Source organism: Homo sapiens, chromosome 19 (genome assembly GCF_000001405.40).
Source record: "Homo sapiens chromosome 19, GRCh38.p14 Primary Assembly".
NCBI classification, from domain to species: Eukaryota; Metazoa; Chordata; class Mammalia; order Primates; family Hominidae; genus Homo; species Homo sapiens.
Window position 1 is genome coordinate 28,781,903 of NC_000019.10, and position 16,004 is coordinate 28,797,906.

The 16,004-nt window shown below is 39.1% G+C and overlaps 1 pseudogene; it reads right to left on the bottom strand.

Moving 5' to 3' along the window:
- Positions 1-8,707: 8,707 nt before the first annotated feature.
- MAN1A2P1 (mannosidase alpha class 1A member 2 pseudogene 1) lies at positions 8,708-11,168 on the bottom strand (annotated as a pseudogene).

The following is a 16,004-nucleotide window of genomic DNA, read 5'->3' on the forward strand; positions in this document are numbered from 1 at the left end:
TGTGCTTTTATGATGGCAAATTTTGTCCTTTTATTTCTGTCTTTAGAACTCTTTTGAGCATTTCTTGTAAGTCCAGTCAAGAGGTGACAAATTCCCTTAGCATTTGCTTGTCTGAGAAATACTTTATTTCTCCTTCATTTATGAAGCTTAATTTAGCCAAAGCCAAAGGTTTTGGTTGGCAGTTCTTTGCTTTAAGAAGACAGAAAATCGAAGCCTGATCTCTTCTGGGTTGTACAGTTTTTGCCAAGAAGTCCACTGTCATTCTGATGAGACAGTCTTTATAGGTGCTTTGATACTTCTCTCTAGCTGATTTCAGCATTTGTTCCTTTATGTTAACTTTGGTTTGTCTGATGAATATATGCCCTGGTGAGATCCATCTTGCAGAAAATCTTTCAGGTGTTATTTGCACTTCTTATATCTGAATGTCTAATTCTGTATCTAGATCAGAAAAGTTTCTTGAGTTAACTAATCAGATACATTTCCCATGCTTTTTACTGTTTCTTCTTCTCACTCAGAAATGCCCATAGCTTGTAGGTTTGATTACTTTACATAATCCCACATTTCTTGAGGGCTTTTTAAATTTTTTATATTCTTTTTTTCCTAATTTTCTTATGACTGGGTTAATTCAAAGGACTGGGCTTTCAGGTCTGAAATTCTCCCTTCTGCTTGTCTGGTTTATTGTTAAAATCTTCAACTACATTTTATAATTCCTTCAATGAATTTTTCACTTCCAGAAGTTCTGTTTCTTTTTTAAATATCTCTTTAGTAAATTTTGTATTAATATCCTTAATTGTTATTCTGATTTCTTTATGTTGGTTTTCAACTTTCTCTTGGATCTCATTGAGCTTCCTTACAATAAAAAAAATTTGAATTTTTTTTTATGTGTCACTTTAGTTTTATTTGTTAGAATCCATTGCTTCAGAACTGCTGTGATCCTTTGTGGGTGTCAAAACACTCTGTCTTTCTGTACTGCTGAAGTTCTCACATTATTTCTCATTTATAGAAGCTGTCACTTAGTTATTTTCTATTTGCTTTCATTTGAAGAACATTTTCAATTTTCAATTCTTTTCTCTTTTGGGGGTGTGATTATATGTTGTGTGTAATCATTTGGCTTCAATTCTGGGTGCCTTCAGGGGGCTAAGGCTCTAGATGAGTTTCTTGGTTATAGATAGTTTTTGTGCAGTGGCTTTCTCAAATGCTGATTGTTGTACCAATATATTGGGCATATAATTTGACTCACTATCTTTTGCAGGGCTGGGAGTGCAGAAGCCTCAGGAAGATTATCTCATTCCCTAGTATCATGCCCTTCTGCCAACAGGTTTTGTATATGGTTATGCAGTTCAGTTTACGGTTTAGTAGTTGGCACTTACTAGCAGACACTGGCTTGTTGTTTTGACAATTTGATGACTAGCAAAAGCCCCTCCCCTGAAGGGGGTGGTGGGAAAGCTCACTGTGGGATGCACACAGGTCTCTGCCAAGTGGTAGAGGTGTGAAGGGTGTTGCACTAGCTCCTCATCCTAGGGATGTAACTTACATCCCTATCTACTCCTGTTCAAGGGCTCACAACCTGCAGTTCAGATAGACAATGTCCTTTATCTCCACGCTGCAATGCAACTAGGTTTCGTAGAAAACATTCATCCTGTGGCTACAGCTGAAAGGGCCTCTGGAAAAAACCTCTTCCCACAGCTTGAAATAGACAGCTGTAGCTGGTCTATACTCTGTAGCTGGTTCATTCTATGGTGCAGAAATGCTGCTGCTTTGTATGGGGAGGAAGAGATAAGTCCCACCCTTTGAGCAAGTCCAGGTTGGTGGGGACACTTTCAACTGGGGTGCAGCTGCCCTAAGTGTACTGAAAAGCCTGTTTCCAAGTGCATCCACACAAACCCCCAGCAGAAAACGTCATGATTGTGTCTGCAGCAGTGATGGAGACAGCAAAAGATGCCTTTTCCATTTCAGTTCCCAGCCAATGGTACCACCTGTCCTTTGGGACAAGACAATACTCCTAATTTTCAAAGATCAGCATTGCACCTGTGTCTCTGCTAGGAGAAATACAGCCATTTTCTGGTTATAAGTGGGGAGGGGGGCTCTCCATCAGGGAAGAATGTGCATTCCAGTTTCCTTTGTCCCAAAATGTGCTCTGGTGGACTACAATCCCCCTTCCCTAGTGAAGGCCTGTATCAAAGGCTAGGTCTCTAAGGATCTTGCAGCTCCCCAAGGTCCTGCTGGTTCTCTGTGGTTGCCGTAGGCAGAAGAGGTTCTGGGAAATGTTTGTGTGGGATATAGTCATGCAGAGAGACACAAGGGCTAAAATTATCTGGACCGAATAGAGGCCCCAAACAGATGTACAGTCTGTATGGTGCTCACCACCTCAGCTCGGGTTTGAGGGGGAGAGCAAGCAAACCTATGTGAACTCACCACCCAGTGCTCTGCCCTCCAGATGTTCCCCAATCACTGCCAACAGTGGTGCCTGCGTTTGCAAGGGCAGAGGGGCTCTCAGACAAATTGGTGGCAATGAGTTGGGTACAAGAGTGAGGATAAAAAGACACACTCCCATCTACACTTTCCATGGGACTCCAAGTTCCTCATGGGTCAGTCTCTGCCAGACATTTATGCCCTTTTTTTTTCCTGTACCCCCAACTTCTTCCTGTGGGTTCTCCAAAGGTTTCCGACACTTTTCCCTCAGCAGTCCACTTGGGCCATGATTATTCACCTGTAAGGTTAAATCTTCTTTCTAAGGAGAACTGGTATCTGATGTCTCTAGTAAGCCATCTTGAAAAAAATCACGATTTTCATTCTTTATTCTGTTAATGTGATTTATCACAATTATTTTTATTTAGCTTTATTGAGGCAAAGAAATAAGACAAATAAAATTGCGTATATTTAAAATGTACAACATGATGATTTGAAGTAAATATATATTGTGAACTGACTGCTGCAGTCAAGTTAATTATCATATTCACTACTTCAAGGACTTAATTTTTTTCTTTCATTTTGATGAGAATGCTTAAGGTCTACTCTTAGAAAATTTCAAAGTATATAATTTAGTATTATTAACTGTAGTCACCATGCTTTACATTATATTCTCAGAACTTACTTATCTTAGAATGGTAAGTTTGTATACTTTGGCCTACATCTCCCAATTTGACCCGCCCCTAGACCTTATCAACTACCATTCTACTTTATTTCTAAGAACTCAATTTTATTGTTTTATATTCCACAGTCACTTCTTTTGCTTTAAAATGAATTATGTAAATTACAGCACAGAGAAAAGAGGCAGAAAGAAGGCTAAAGGGTTTTACACTACTTAATCTTGGGATTGGGGTAAAAATTATGACCTGTGGGTCAAATGCAGTCCTTTACCTGTTTATGTAAATAAAGCTTTATCGGAACACAGCTATACTCATTCATTTACATAATATCTGTATCTGTTTTCACACTTCAACAGCAGAACTGAGTAAGAAGAAAGACTGTATAGCTCATATAACCTAAAATATTTATTATCTGCCCTTTGCAGAAAAGCTTTCTGACTAGTTGTAAATTAAAAAGAGCATCTTCATCATAATCTGAATGAGCTGAAGTAACACAAAATCATCTTCACCAATGTTCTTGAGCCAGAGTAAGTGGATTGATATATTTCCATATCATATGTGGTTTGTATTAGTCAATATTGTGTTGCTATAAAGGAATACTTCGGACTGGGTAATTTATTTTATTTTTATTGATTTATTGTTTTTCCAAGACAGGGTCTCACTATCACCACTGGTATACAGTGGCACAATTTTGGCTCACGTAACTGCCACCTTCCAGGTTCAAGCGATTCTCCCACCTCAGTCTCCCATTTGCTGGAACTACAGGAGCACGCCACCATGTCTGGTTAATTTTTGTATTTTTAGTAGAGGCGGGATTTCACAATATTGGCCAGGCTCAAACTCCTGACCTCAAGTGATCTGCCTGCCTAGGCCTCCCAAAGTGCTGGGATTACAGGCATGAGCCACCAGGCTCAGCCCCTATTTTTAAAATAGGTTAATTTACCTCACAGTTCTGCAGGCTATACAAGCATAGTGCCACTATCTGCTTTAGGCCAGGACCTCAGGAAGCTCCCACTCATGGCAGATGGCAAAAGGGAACAGGTTTGTCACACGGTAAGAGAGGGAGCCAGAGAGATGCCATGCTCCTTTAAGCCACCAGCTCTCATGTGAACTAACAGAGCAGGGACTTGCTCATTACCATAGGGAAGGCAGCACCGAGCCATTCATGAGGGATCCATACCATCACTCAAACACCTTCCACCAGGCCTCACCCCTCTGACACTGGGGATCACATTTCAACATGAGATCTGGAGGAGAGAAATATCCCAACCATATCAGGTTACTCAAACATTCTGCTTAGAATTTGTGCGGCCAAAACTAGTTACCAACTGTGTTTGTTAAATAAAAAATGGTATTAAAAATTTTTGTGTATAACTAAAAAATTATACAGATAGGTATAGAGAAAGAGAAAGGGAAGAGGGAGAGGGAGAGGGAGAGAGAGAGAGAGAGAGAGAGAGAGAGAGAGAGAGAGAGAGGAGCTATCCAATTTGAGTGTAAGGAAATCTAAAAAAAAATAAGAACTTAAAATCCTATTACTAGAAACTGCTTTTTGAAACCTAGAAATATTTTATTATATTTTTCTTTATATTTAACAGCATGGGACTGTTAGTAGGACCCCTACCAAAGACAATTTACAACTTCAAGTTTTACCCACCAATGATGTGACAAAAGCTTTTTGAATTTAAACTAAGCAGCACTTCTATTAAACATTGATTTTAATAATATAATTGAAGTGATATAGCAAACTAAAAATGTTTTTATTTCTAAAGTAAATATTTTAGTCAAAGTTGCATCAAAAATCAAGCACTTCTGTGACATTTTTCAAGACTTTAACCACAATTATAGTTAGTACTACATAGTACACATTATTTAAAATGTATTATAAACCTTTTCTCTTTATATGAAATATAAAATTTAAAATGCTGTAACATGATTCATATTGAAAAACATGTAAAATTGTATACACTGCTCTCATACAGAAAGTGCCACTGGAATCACATAAAACTTTCTAATGCTTTAAGGTGCCAGGCACAGTGCTTGGCACATATTACATACTTCATAAATGTTTGTTCACTCATTCTCTCATTTACTCATGTACTCAAAGAAATACGGGCTTAAGGAGAAACTGCATTATAATGAGAACTGAAAGCACAATCTTTTATCAACAAACTTGGAGTTTTGACAAAGACTTTGACAGAGAGTGGAGCAGATGAGAGGATGATAATCAAGATTTCAAACTCCTTGGTTAAAATCTACTAAGTAAAGCCCTGGGTTCACAAGATGACATCATAGAGAATCAGAGTCAATACTCCACAAAAAGAATGCATTCTTTCAATACCCAGGTTGGACTTTTATATATAACCATCTGCTTGAAGCTGGGAATAAGTCGTGTTAGAAGTAAAACACACAGTCCACCGGCAGGTAAGAACCACCTGATGGGGGACTTGTTTTTCTGCGCTGAGACTTCTTTTCAGGTAGGGTCTCATTCTCTTGGTTTTGACAACTTAATACAAGTTGAATTAAAAAAAAAAACTGGCTTAACCCAAAAAGTTTTATTTTAAAATAAAGATAAATAAATGTAGAAGGTAGAGGGGTGTTTAACATTCCTATTTTTTTCCTGTTATGCACGAACCAATCCATCTATTCTGCATATTTGTGCCAAAGTCACAATGTGAGGTGTCAACTTTTTGAGGAGCATTTCTGGGCTATTTGCGGAAGGTCTGATAAATGCAGTATTTTACCAGAGTAATAAGGTCTACAAAATGCAAAAAGCTGTAAAAAAGAGAAGAAAGTATGGGTACTAAGCAGAATATAAGATAAAAATTGATCTTGGAGGAAATTTACCTATTTTCTGTTTGCCCCAAGAATACCGTGCTGGCAGCAAGATGCACTTTATTTTTTCCTAAATGGGAAACGGGTTAAAAATCTGTAACAAAAATAAAACATAACACTGGCAAGTCACTTGCAGCTGGCCTGAATTGTCTTTGGTATTCAGAGAAGGGAAAAAAAAAAAAAAAATGGAGGGCCGGGCGCAGTGTCTCATGCCCGTAATCCCAGCATTCTGGGAGGCCGAGGTAGGCGGATCACAAAGTCAGGAGTTCACGACCAGCCTGACCAACATGGTGAAACACTGTGTATACTAAAAATACAAATATTAGCCAGGCATGGCGGCACACACCTGTAATCCCAGGTACTCAGGAGGCTGAAGCAGGAGAACTGCTTGAACCCGGGAGGCGGAGGTTGCAGTGAGCCGAGATTGCGCCACTGCACTCCAGCCTGGGTGACAGAGCGAAACTCTGTCTCAAAAAAAAAAAAAAAAAAAGTACTGTTGTAGGTCCAGTCTTGTCATTCCACAGAAGGTAGGGAGCGTAGGGAGAGGTGTAGAAAACCCTCTCAAATTCTTCGCTTATGAACTGACTCTGCTTGAATACTTCTCTACCTTCTCTTAACTCCAGTCATCTGAGTAATACAAAGAGAGCCGTTGGAGATACAGGTTGTATCTCCTCATCTCTTGAGAATTTCCTGGGAAACCAAGAAGGCCTCTTTACTCTGCATTCTTATAAACAAATTAAGAGTTTGGAGACTTCATTGCCATCTGCACAGCTTCTCTGGGTCTTTGCCAATTAAACTTTCTTGCCTTTTTTTTTTTTAGTGATTCCTAAGTGGGCTTGTGCTATTTTTAGCAAGGCTTTTTTGAGAACCAAGTACTTTCCCTTTTCTCTTCTAAAGTTATGGTCATCTACCTTTATCATTTAAACAATTTAAAGGTTTAAGTAGTAAAAAAATTACAATCTCAAAATATGTCCTAAAATTTGACTCTCTTAAAGACTTTATTGTAACTGGCTCTACATCCTTATTTTCTATGTTTACTAAAAACTTTTGTAGTGGTTGTCATTTATGCATCATTGGCTGGGCTGTGAGAACTGTTTAATAATTTGTGGTCTGAGATGATCAACCTTGGAAAATATTTAATTGTATTCATTCATTAAATCTTTTCCCAACTTAAATCTAAAAGCTAAGTTGAAAAGAAATGTTATCAAATACGGAAATAAGCCTTCAGAATTCCAAGTTGGATTTCTTGTATGAACTTTTTTGTCTCATTAAACTTTGTTTAATGAGACAAAATCTTTAAATTCAGAGTAAATATCATACTAGTTATACTGTTTCCAATTTTATTAATGTCAATGGACGATGTCTAAATTAAACAATAAAAAGTCCCTTCAGTTTATGTGACAGAAAATGCGTGAGCATTAGATATTTATCTTACACCATAGTTACTGATAATTTTTTTTGCCAAAATATAAAGAATTAGTAATTTCTTTAAAAAGAAATAACAATGCAAAACCTACTGATGGTAAGAGAAAATCCCTGAGATACTTACTTCAACACTTTTATCACTGAAAACGATTTTGAAGCTATTCTAATTATTTTGATTTCTATAAAGATCAATAGAAAAAATTTTAAAAACATAAAATATTTGTGAATGGCACACTCACCTGATAAGATAATAAAGGATATCATCCCAGATAGAATATTTAAGAAAGTTGCACTGTGTTTTGTTTTTGCTTTAATGAGTTGTAAAAGTAATTTAGCTTATCAAGACAAATTCAGAGCTACATAATAGTATCGTGAATTTTGCCAAGTCACATAAATAAAGTTGTGAGTTGGATGACTCTCCTAACGTTATTATGAGATTTAAGTGGATAAAACTTGCTCGGTAGATTTATTAGTTCAGAAAAATAATCTCCTACCAGCAAAACCAAGAATTTCTTTTAGAACAGGTTTCAAGGCAACAAACTGTGGCATTTTTCCGCACTTTTTGTCATGCTACCACCACTGACTGAACCACCTGAATTAAGTCTCAAACTCAGGCTTATAGGTAGTGGTTATGACAAATAGCAGTTTTAATGATTTCATATGAAGACAAAGACTTAAAGAGTATTTTTTGTGAGATCATGCCCCTAGAAGAAACTAAACTTAACCATGAAATTTAAATGAAATAGATTTTATTTAAACCGATTAAACAGGATTTGAAATGGTTGCCAGTCTGGTCATCCAATAGGGAACTTGAAAATTCAGACATGGATTGGCACTTCTGTTTGTTTTTTGAGTCTTCTTGTCACTGATGCAGTTATACTATATTTTTTCTTTATCTTAGTTCATTACATTACTAAAATGGAGAAAAATGAGACAATGTGGAATATTTGACAGTTGCTCCACTGTAGGAATATATAATAGGTTCCAAAGGCCATTCTTAACTCCTGCAATGTGCTCTATATTCTTGGCTTTCTCTTAGGAAGTCTAGCCTCCAGACTTCAGAGCTCTACAAACCATATATATGTGTGTGTGTGTGTGTGTGTGTGTGTGTGTGTGTGTGTGTGTGTGTGTGTGTGTATAAATATATGTAACTCTCTCTAAATATAAAACTCTCTATATAACTCTCTATATACATAGAGTTATATAGAGTTTTATATAGTTATATATATATATATATACATATATTTAAAATATATATGGTTTGTAGAGTACTTGGTGGTGTAAAAGTAATTGCGATCTTTGCTGTAACACACATCATTCTTATATGACCACTATCATGTTGACTTAGAGGTCTAGGTTTTCAGACTACATTCTATAGTGGTCCACGTAAAACAAAACAGGTGAGACTGGTCCTGGTCCTCGGAACTGCTTTTATCCAACAGCAGAATTACCTGAAAGTGTGGTGTTGGCTAAATGTAACACAGGCAGAGGGTGAGCCTCTGTATTAAACACCTAGTAGTCTAAAGGTAAAAGGTCACCACTGGAGAACAGCACATACAAATATTTTAAGTGTTTCAGCAAGAAAGACACCCTGCTCTACATCACCATGTGTAGGAGTAGAGAAATGTACATCTTTGACTCCAGAAAATCCACCACTGACTCAGCAATACTTTTCAATGGCCAGTGCTGTTCCCTGCCCCACTGCCTGTATTTTGGATTGTGAGAGAATCACCGTAGGTACCAACGGTTTCAATTACTTCTGGACACAGGATATAATACTTTTCAGCCTGACAGCCACAACCTCCACTGCACCATCAAACTTGACTGACTCAGGACCTAGCTTTAATGCAGTCTGTCATATGACTCATGACATGTATATGCAATTTCCACCCCAGCTCTAAATAATGACAGACTTATCTGTTCTGGAACCATCTTCTCCTAGTGCAAACATTACCCCAGCAAAGCAGGCCAGATGCCCCATCTTGTTTTCCAAGTGCCCACTGATCCATTCTTTACTAAAGATTAAGACATCCATGGGAGTTCTTGTTTTTTTGCAGCCTCAAGAGCATCACCACACATCTTTCTCCATTCATGGTCTGTTTTATCTGACATCAAACGTGCTCTCAGTAAGTAGTCATAAAAACTGTCTCCCGATCACCAAATGATGTGTGATACCGACCCCAGCACCCTGTTCTTGGGTTTAATTTGGATAAAGACCGTTTGGACAATCCATTTTCTGAAGCAGTTTCCGCATGTACATGACCTTGTTGTAGTAAACCAGGTCTTCTGTCAAGTAGCTGAGGTGGATGAACTCCATGTGCAGTGTACCAGATTCAGCCAGAATGCTGCTACATGCAGGCCCCTAGCTTCAGCTGCACCCTACTCCACTCTGCAAATGTACCATTGTCCAGGGAATCCCAGTACATGTGTGAAAGGCAGGAAGGAATTTCTTAGCCAGTTGCACAGCTTTAATCTTGAATATCTCCTTTCCTGAAAGGTGATATGCTGCAAGTAGGCCTTCAATAAACTGAATGTTGACGTCAAACACAAACATCTCTGAATTCACACTGACCTCAAGGTTGTCTTTAAACAATCTTTGCACATCTAGGAATTCAGCATGAAGTCCCAAGATATAAAGGGTATCCAAAGCATCTACAACGGTAGCACCCATTTGTGAATTTTCAAATGTTAGTGGCACATCCTTTCCTTTTAATAGGTCTGAGTTCATTATGCCCCCAACTGTATGTCCTATAATTATCCTAGGCATGTTTCATGCTTTAATTTTTTTCCCTTTTCTTTTTTATGTTGTCTTCCAGGTCTCCACCATTCATGCCTACAAAGTTTGGAATAAGGACTGGTGGCAGTGGCTTGTTCTCTGTCTTCATTTCTTGGACCCTATTTTTCTCTATCTGAATTTCTGCTTGGATTTCCTTGCTTGACTTTTCTTTTCTTTCCTTTTTTTGAGATGTGGTCTCACTCTGTCACCCTGGCTGAGTGTTGCAGTGCCATCAGGGCTCACTGCAGCCTCCACCTCCCAGGCTCAAGCAATCCTCCCACCTTAGACCCCAGAATAGCTGGGATTACAAAAGGGCACTACCAGGCCTGGCTGGTTGTTGATTTTTTGTGGAGACAAGGTCTCATCATGTTGCCCAGGCTGGTCTCAAACTCCTAGATGAAAGCCATCCTCCTGACTTGGCCTCCCAAAGTGTTGGGATTACAGGTGTGAGCCACAGCACCCAGGCTGCTTGACTTTCTCAATTTTTCTTTTGTCTCTTCCAGGGACTTGTCATGATTAGCTCGAACTTTATTTCTCAGAGGTTCTTCTTCTTCTTCTCTGTGTGTATGTTAATTGGGTGCATAGATCAGGAAGACTTCAGGGTTTTTAGCCCCTTTGCCAGCTACTACATGAGGAATTAACACATCGTCTAAACCCAGATCAAAGCGTTTGTGTTTTGAGAAGCCTAGAAGAAAAAAGAATGCCCCCAAACACAGGGTGATGAAGGCATTAAAAATAAGTGTCTTCTCAGAAAGTCTCAAGGTAGTGCTGTGATGTGGGGAGGGCGGCCCCAGGTTCAGAGGTGGGATCCCACGTCTGGAGAGGGCAGCAGGGCTGGGGTAGTCATCGTTTATGCTCTTGAAGCTTACAGCAAATGCACGATACATTGAACTGTCTTCAAAATCTTGGCAAAAATGGGAAAACTCAATTTTGCTCCACTTGAAGGACTGCTGCGCTTCTTCACAGGCACCTCTTTGACGCTCCTCCAATTCCATTCAGAAACGTGAGTGACCCCCCCCCCACCCCCTTAAACGATCACAAGCTTATGTCCTGCGAGATCTCGTTTGCCCTTTGACTTTCAGGGCCCTATCGGGTTATCAGAAGACTCTTCATTCCTAGGGGTAGATCAGAGAAGTCACACTGCAAAGGAGCTGCCCCTTGGGGAGGTGCTCAAGGGTGGTCTTCTGCCCCAAAAGGGAGTCTGGCTAACTCTGAGAATTGCAGAAGGTTCACCATCTCTGGTCCTTCCATTCCAGAATCTCTTAACCTTAGTGGTGGAAAAAATAAGGGTCTCCACCGAAATCTCAAAACAGGGAGGAAGGTTTCCGGCCTCCCGGAGGCCAAGGCAGAGGCGCTGGGGGAAGGAGCAAGAAGGGACCAGCCGCCCGCGCTTCCCGACGCTGCCAGGCAGGCTCCCGGGACGGGCAGAGCTCCGAGGCTGCCTCCGGGCAGTCACGTCCAACGTACCTGAGCCCGGCCAGCCGCTGTCGCTGTCGCCGCCGCACTCGCCTGTCCGGACGCACCTTCCTCCTCCTCCGCGGCCCCCGAGAAGCTGGGCGCGCAGGCAAGGGAGGCGCGGCGGCCCCTGCGGCTGGTCAGTTCACCAGGTGCCTGCTCCCGAGCGAGTTGCCACCGACCCCGCCGCGCCCGGCCGAGCCCCGCGCTCCGCAGCGTGGGAAGGAGCCGAGCAGAGACCCTTGCTCCGAGAGCCCGGGGTCGGCGCCTGCTCATTCCTCGCGCAGCCGTGGGGCAGCGGGTGGCCCCGGGCGCGCGCGAGCAGCCTCTTCTCTGGCACGCAGAGGCCGGCTCCGTGTCCTCGGCCAGCCGCCGTGGGGGCCTCCTCCGCGCTGCCTCGCGTGGTGCCCGGCTCGGCCTAGATGCGGCTGCTGAGAGATGGCGCCCACGCGCGGGGCTGCGGCCCAGCCTCTGCCTCCCCAGTACTGGTGGGCGCCGAACAGCTGCGGGGCGACACGCGCTGGGCGCACGCACGTAGGAGCCGGAGGGTGGGGCAGATGGGGCGCTTCCGGAACCCTCCCCGACTCGCGAGTGGGCGGCGCCGGCGGCGGAGCGTGGGGCGCGCTCCCTGGAGTCCACAGTTAAGTGACACAATCCTGGGTTTACCTTTCTCTGTCGGGATCATTTTTCTTAGCATGACGACCTCCAGGTCAGACACAAGGTCACAGGTGGCGGTTTCTGCCTTCCTCTGGCTGAATATATTTCATTAAATATATATTCCGCATTTTCTGTATCCAGTCATCCCTCTGTGGACTGATAGGTTGTTTCTGTGTCTTGGCTAGTTTAAATAATGGCGTAATAAACATAAAGTGCAGATTATCTCTTTAAGATACCGATTTCCTTTCCTTCAGACACATACTCAGAAGTGAGTTGTATTTTTAACTTTTTGAGGAACCTCTGTATGTTAGTTCATATGTCTGCACCAGTTTACATTCCCACCAACAGTGTACAAGGACTTCCCTTTCTCTACATGCTCTGCAACAGTTGTTCTCTCTTGTGAGGTGTTGGTGACTATTTTTAGTAATAGCCATTGTAACAGAAGTGAGATGGTATCTCATTGTGGTTTTGATTTGAATTTCCCTGATAGTGATGTCAAGCATCTTTGTGTATTTATACCTGTTACTGATTTTTTAATTTTCTTGAAAAAAATGCCTATTCGGAAGATATACCTGTTTTTATTTGGGTGTTTTTTGTTTGTTTGTTTGTTTGCTATTAGGTTGAGTACCATATATATTTTGAATACTAACCTCTCATTAGATTATGGTTTGTAAATATTTCTCCTATTCTGTGGGTTACCTTTTCATCTTGTTGATTGCGTCCTTTGCTGTGCAGAAGCTTTTTAGTTTGATATCATACCATTTGTCTATTTTTTATTTTTTTGCCCGTGCTTTGTGGTATATACAAAAAATCTTTGCCAAGACAAATGTCAAGGAGCCTTTCCCTGTTTTCTTCTAGGAGTTTTACAGTTTCAGATCCTACACTTAAACCTTTAATCCATTTCAAATTGATTTTTGTATATGGCGTAAAATAAACAGTCTAATTTCTTTTTCTTCCTCCTACCTTCCTTTTTTTTCCTTTTATTTCTTCTTCTCTTTTTTTATTCTTGCATGTGAATATCCAGTTTTCCAAACATCGTTTATTGAAGAGACTATCCTTTTTCCATTGTGTCTCCTAGGCAACTTTGTCTAAAATAAATTGACCTTAAATGTGTGGGTTTATTTATGGGCTCTTTATTCTGTTCGATTGATTGCTATGTCTTTTCTTATGTCAGTATCATGCTGGTTTGATAAATATAGCTTAATAATATAATCTAAAAACAGGAAGAGTGTTGCTTCCAACTTTGTTCTCTCTCAAGAGTGCTTTGGCTGTTTAGAGCTTTTTGTGTTTCCACACATATTTTAGAATTATTTTTATTTATTCAAAAAAAGGTCATTGGAATTTTGATAGGAATTATATTGAATTTGTATGTTGCTGTAGGTAGTATGGCAATTTTAACAATATTAATCATGAATGTGATACATATTTTATTTTTGTCTTCAGTATGTTTCATCAATATTTTATAGTGTTGAGTGTCTAGATCCTTCAAACCCTTGGTTAAATATCTTCCTAAGTGTTTTTTTTTAAATACTATTTAAATTGGATAGTTTTCTTGACTGCTTTTCAGGTAGGTCATTATGATGTAAAGAAGTGCAACTGATTTTTGTGTTGATGTTGTACCTAAAACTACTGAATTTATTCATTAGTTCTAACATTTTTTTGGGGAATTTGTTTTCTATGTATAGGATCTTGCTATTTGCAGGGATAATTTTACTGCTTGTCCTCTGATATGGATGTCTTTTGTTTCTTTCTTTTTTTTTTTCTCTTGCCTAATTGCTCTCGTTACTACTTCCAGTACCATGCTGAAAAGAAGTGGTGACAGCGGGCATTCTTGTCTTGTTCCTGACCTTAGAGGAAAAGTTTTAGTTTTCCCTGATTATTATGTTAACTGTGAGTTTCTCATAGATGGCCTCTACTATATTGAGGAAATTTTCTTCTATTTCTAATTTGCCAGGAGTGTTAGATTTTTTCAAATGTTTTTTTCTGTGTCTATTGAGATAACCATGTGGTTTTTATCTTTCATTCTTTTAATGTGCTGTATCATTTGACTGATTTGTCTATGCTGAAATTTTTGCTATAGGAAATGGAAAGCTATCAAAAGATTTTCATAAAGGATATTTTGGATAAGTCCCCTCAGACCACTGCTAGGCAATGGGTTCTCAAAAACTAAATATGGAGAAAAGAAAGTTTGAGATGTTGCTGTAGGAATGATGTTGGCTTGTAGGAGAGCCTATGGGTTGGGAGAGAAAGGGATGGATTTAAAAATTATTGGAATGGTAACCTAGCCTCAAGGAGAGGGGGATTCTCCGTGCTCCTTTCTTTTCTCATGTCTTTGATTTTTGCCACCTTGAAAGTTAATGTGATTGGTTAGATTTCAGGACAGAATAAAGGAATTATTTCTAGAGATTAATATTTTAAAGTATTCCAATTACACCGGAGTCAGGTTTTCCCCTCTCCTCCTCCTCCTCTCTCTCTTCCTTTTTTCCTTTTTCTCTTTGTTTCATTGTTTTTATTCCTTTTCTCTATGCATTAACACCACCAAAGAGGCTTGGAGAGTTAGTCTTGTTCTCACCCTCACACTCTGTGTCTTACAATTTTTTCCCTATGGCACTGTTGGAGGTGCAGACATGAGGTCGATTATATTCAAGAATCATGCTTGGGGAAGGGAGGAGAAACAAGATAAAGGGGCTTTGACTCAGGACTCCTTCAGTCCACTATCACAAGAAAAAGGAGATTTCCAAAGTATTCAGACCAGATCTCTAGTTTATTCAAACCTGAGTCAAAGCCTCATCTAATAATAAAGTTACTTTTCTCTGTCTCTTTTTTTTTACCTTTTTGTACCTACAGCTCCTTTAAATTAATTTTATAGAGAAATAATTGGTTTAAAAATAATTGGTTTGAAAAATAATTCAGATATTTTTGTGTCCTTTGAAACAATATTACCTTAAGAACACCTAAACATTCTTTGCAGCATTGAATTAAATAATGCATGCCTTATTCATAACATGTTATAAAACAGCCATTTAAATAAGATTTATATGCATTAAATTGTAAAAGGGCCCAGCAGATATTGTCATTTGACTAAAAATTGTAAAGTTAAAGAAATATAAACATTATAAAAGTCCACAAACCTTCACACCAAACTTTGAATGGTCAATAATATTCACTTAGGGGTGAATCCATCACTGGAAACAGTGATGGATTGTGACAAAGATCATTTTATATTTCACTTTATGGAATTCTTTTGTTTAAGTTATTTTGAGATATTGAAAAAATATTTCATATATAAAATTTTATGAGGAATATTAATATGATTATTATTAATACAATGTAATAGTAATATTAATATATTTCTAATGTACAAATATGAGAAATATATTAATATATTAATATATTTCTAATATACAAATATACAAATATATTAATATATTAATATATTTCTCATATAAATGTTAATATTCACTTTTATGTATAAGAAATATTTTATATAGATTTATATAAAATTTATATATTTATATGCATATAAACGCATATATTTATAAATAGTATAAATATATAAATTTCCATTTTTATTTTAGATTCAGTGGGTACATGTGCAGGTTTGCTACAAGGGTAAACTGTATGATGCTAAGGGTTTGACTTCTATTGATCCGATCATCCAGACAGTGAACGTAGTACCCAATAGGAATTCAGTTCTTGTCCTCATTCCTCCCTCCCTCCTTTTGGATTCTACAGGGTGTGTTGTTCCCATCTTTATGTCCATCTGTATC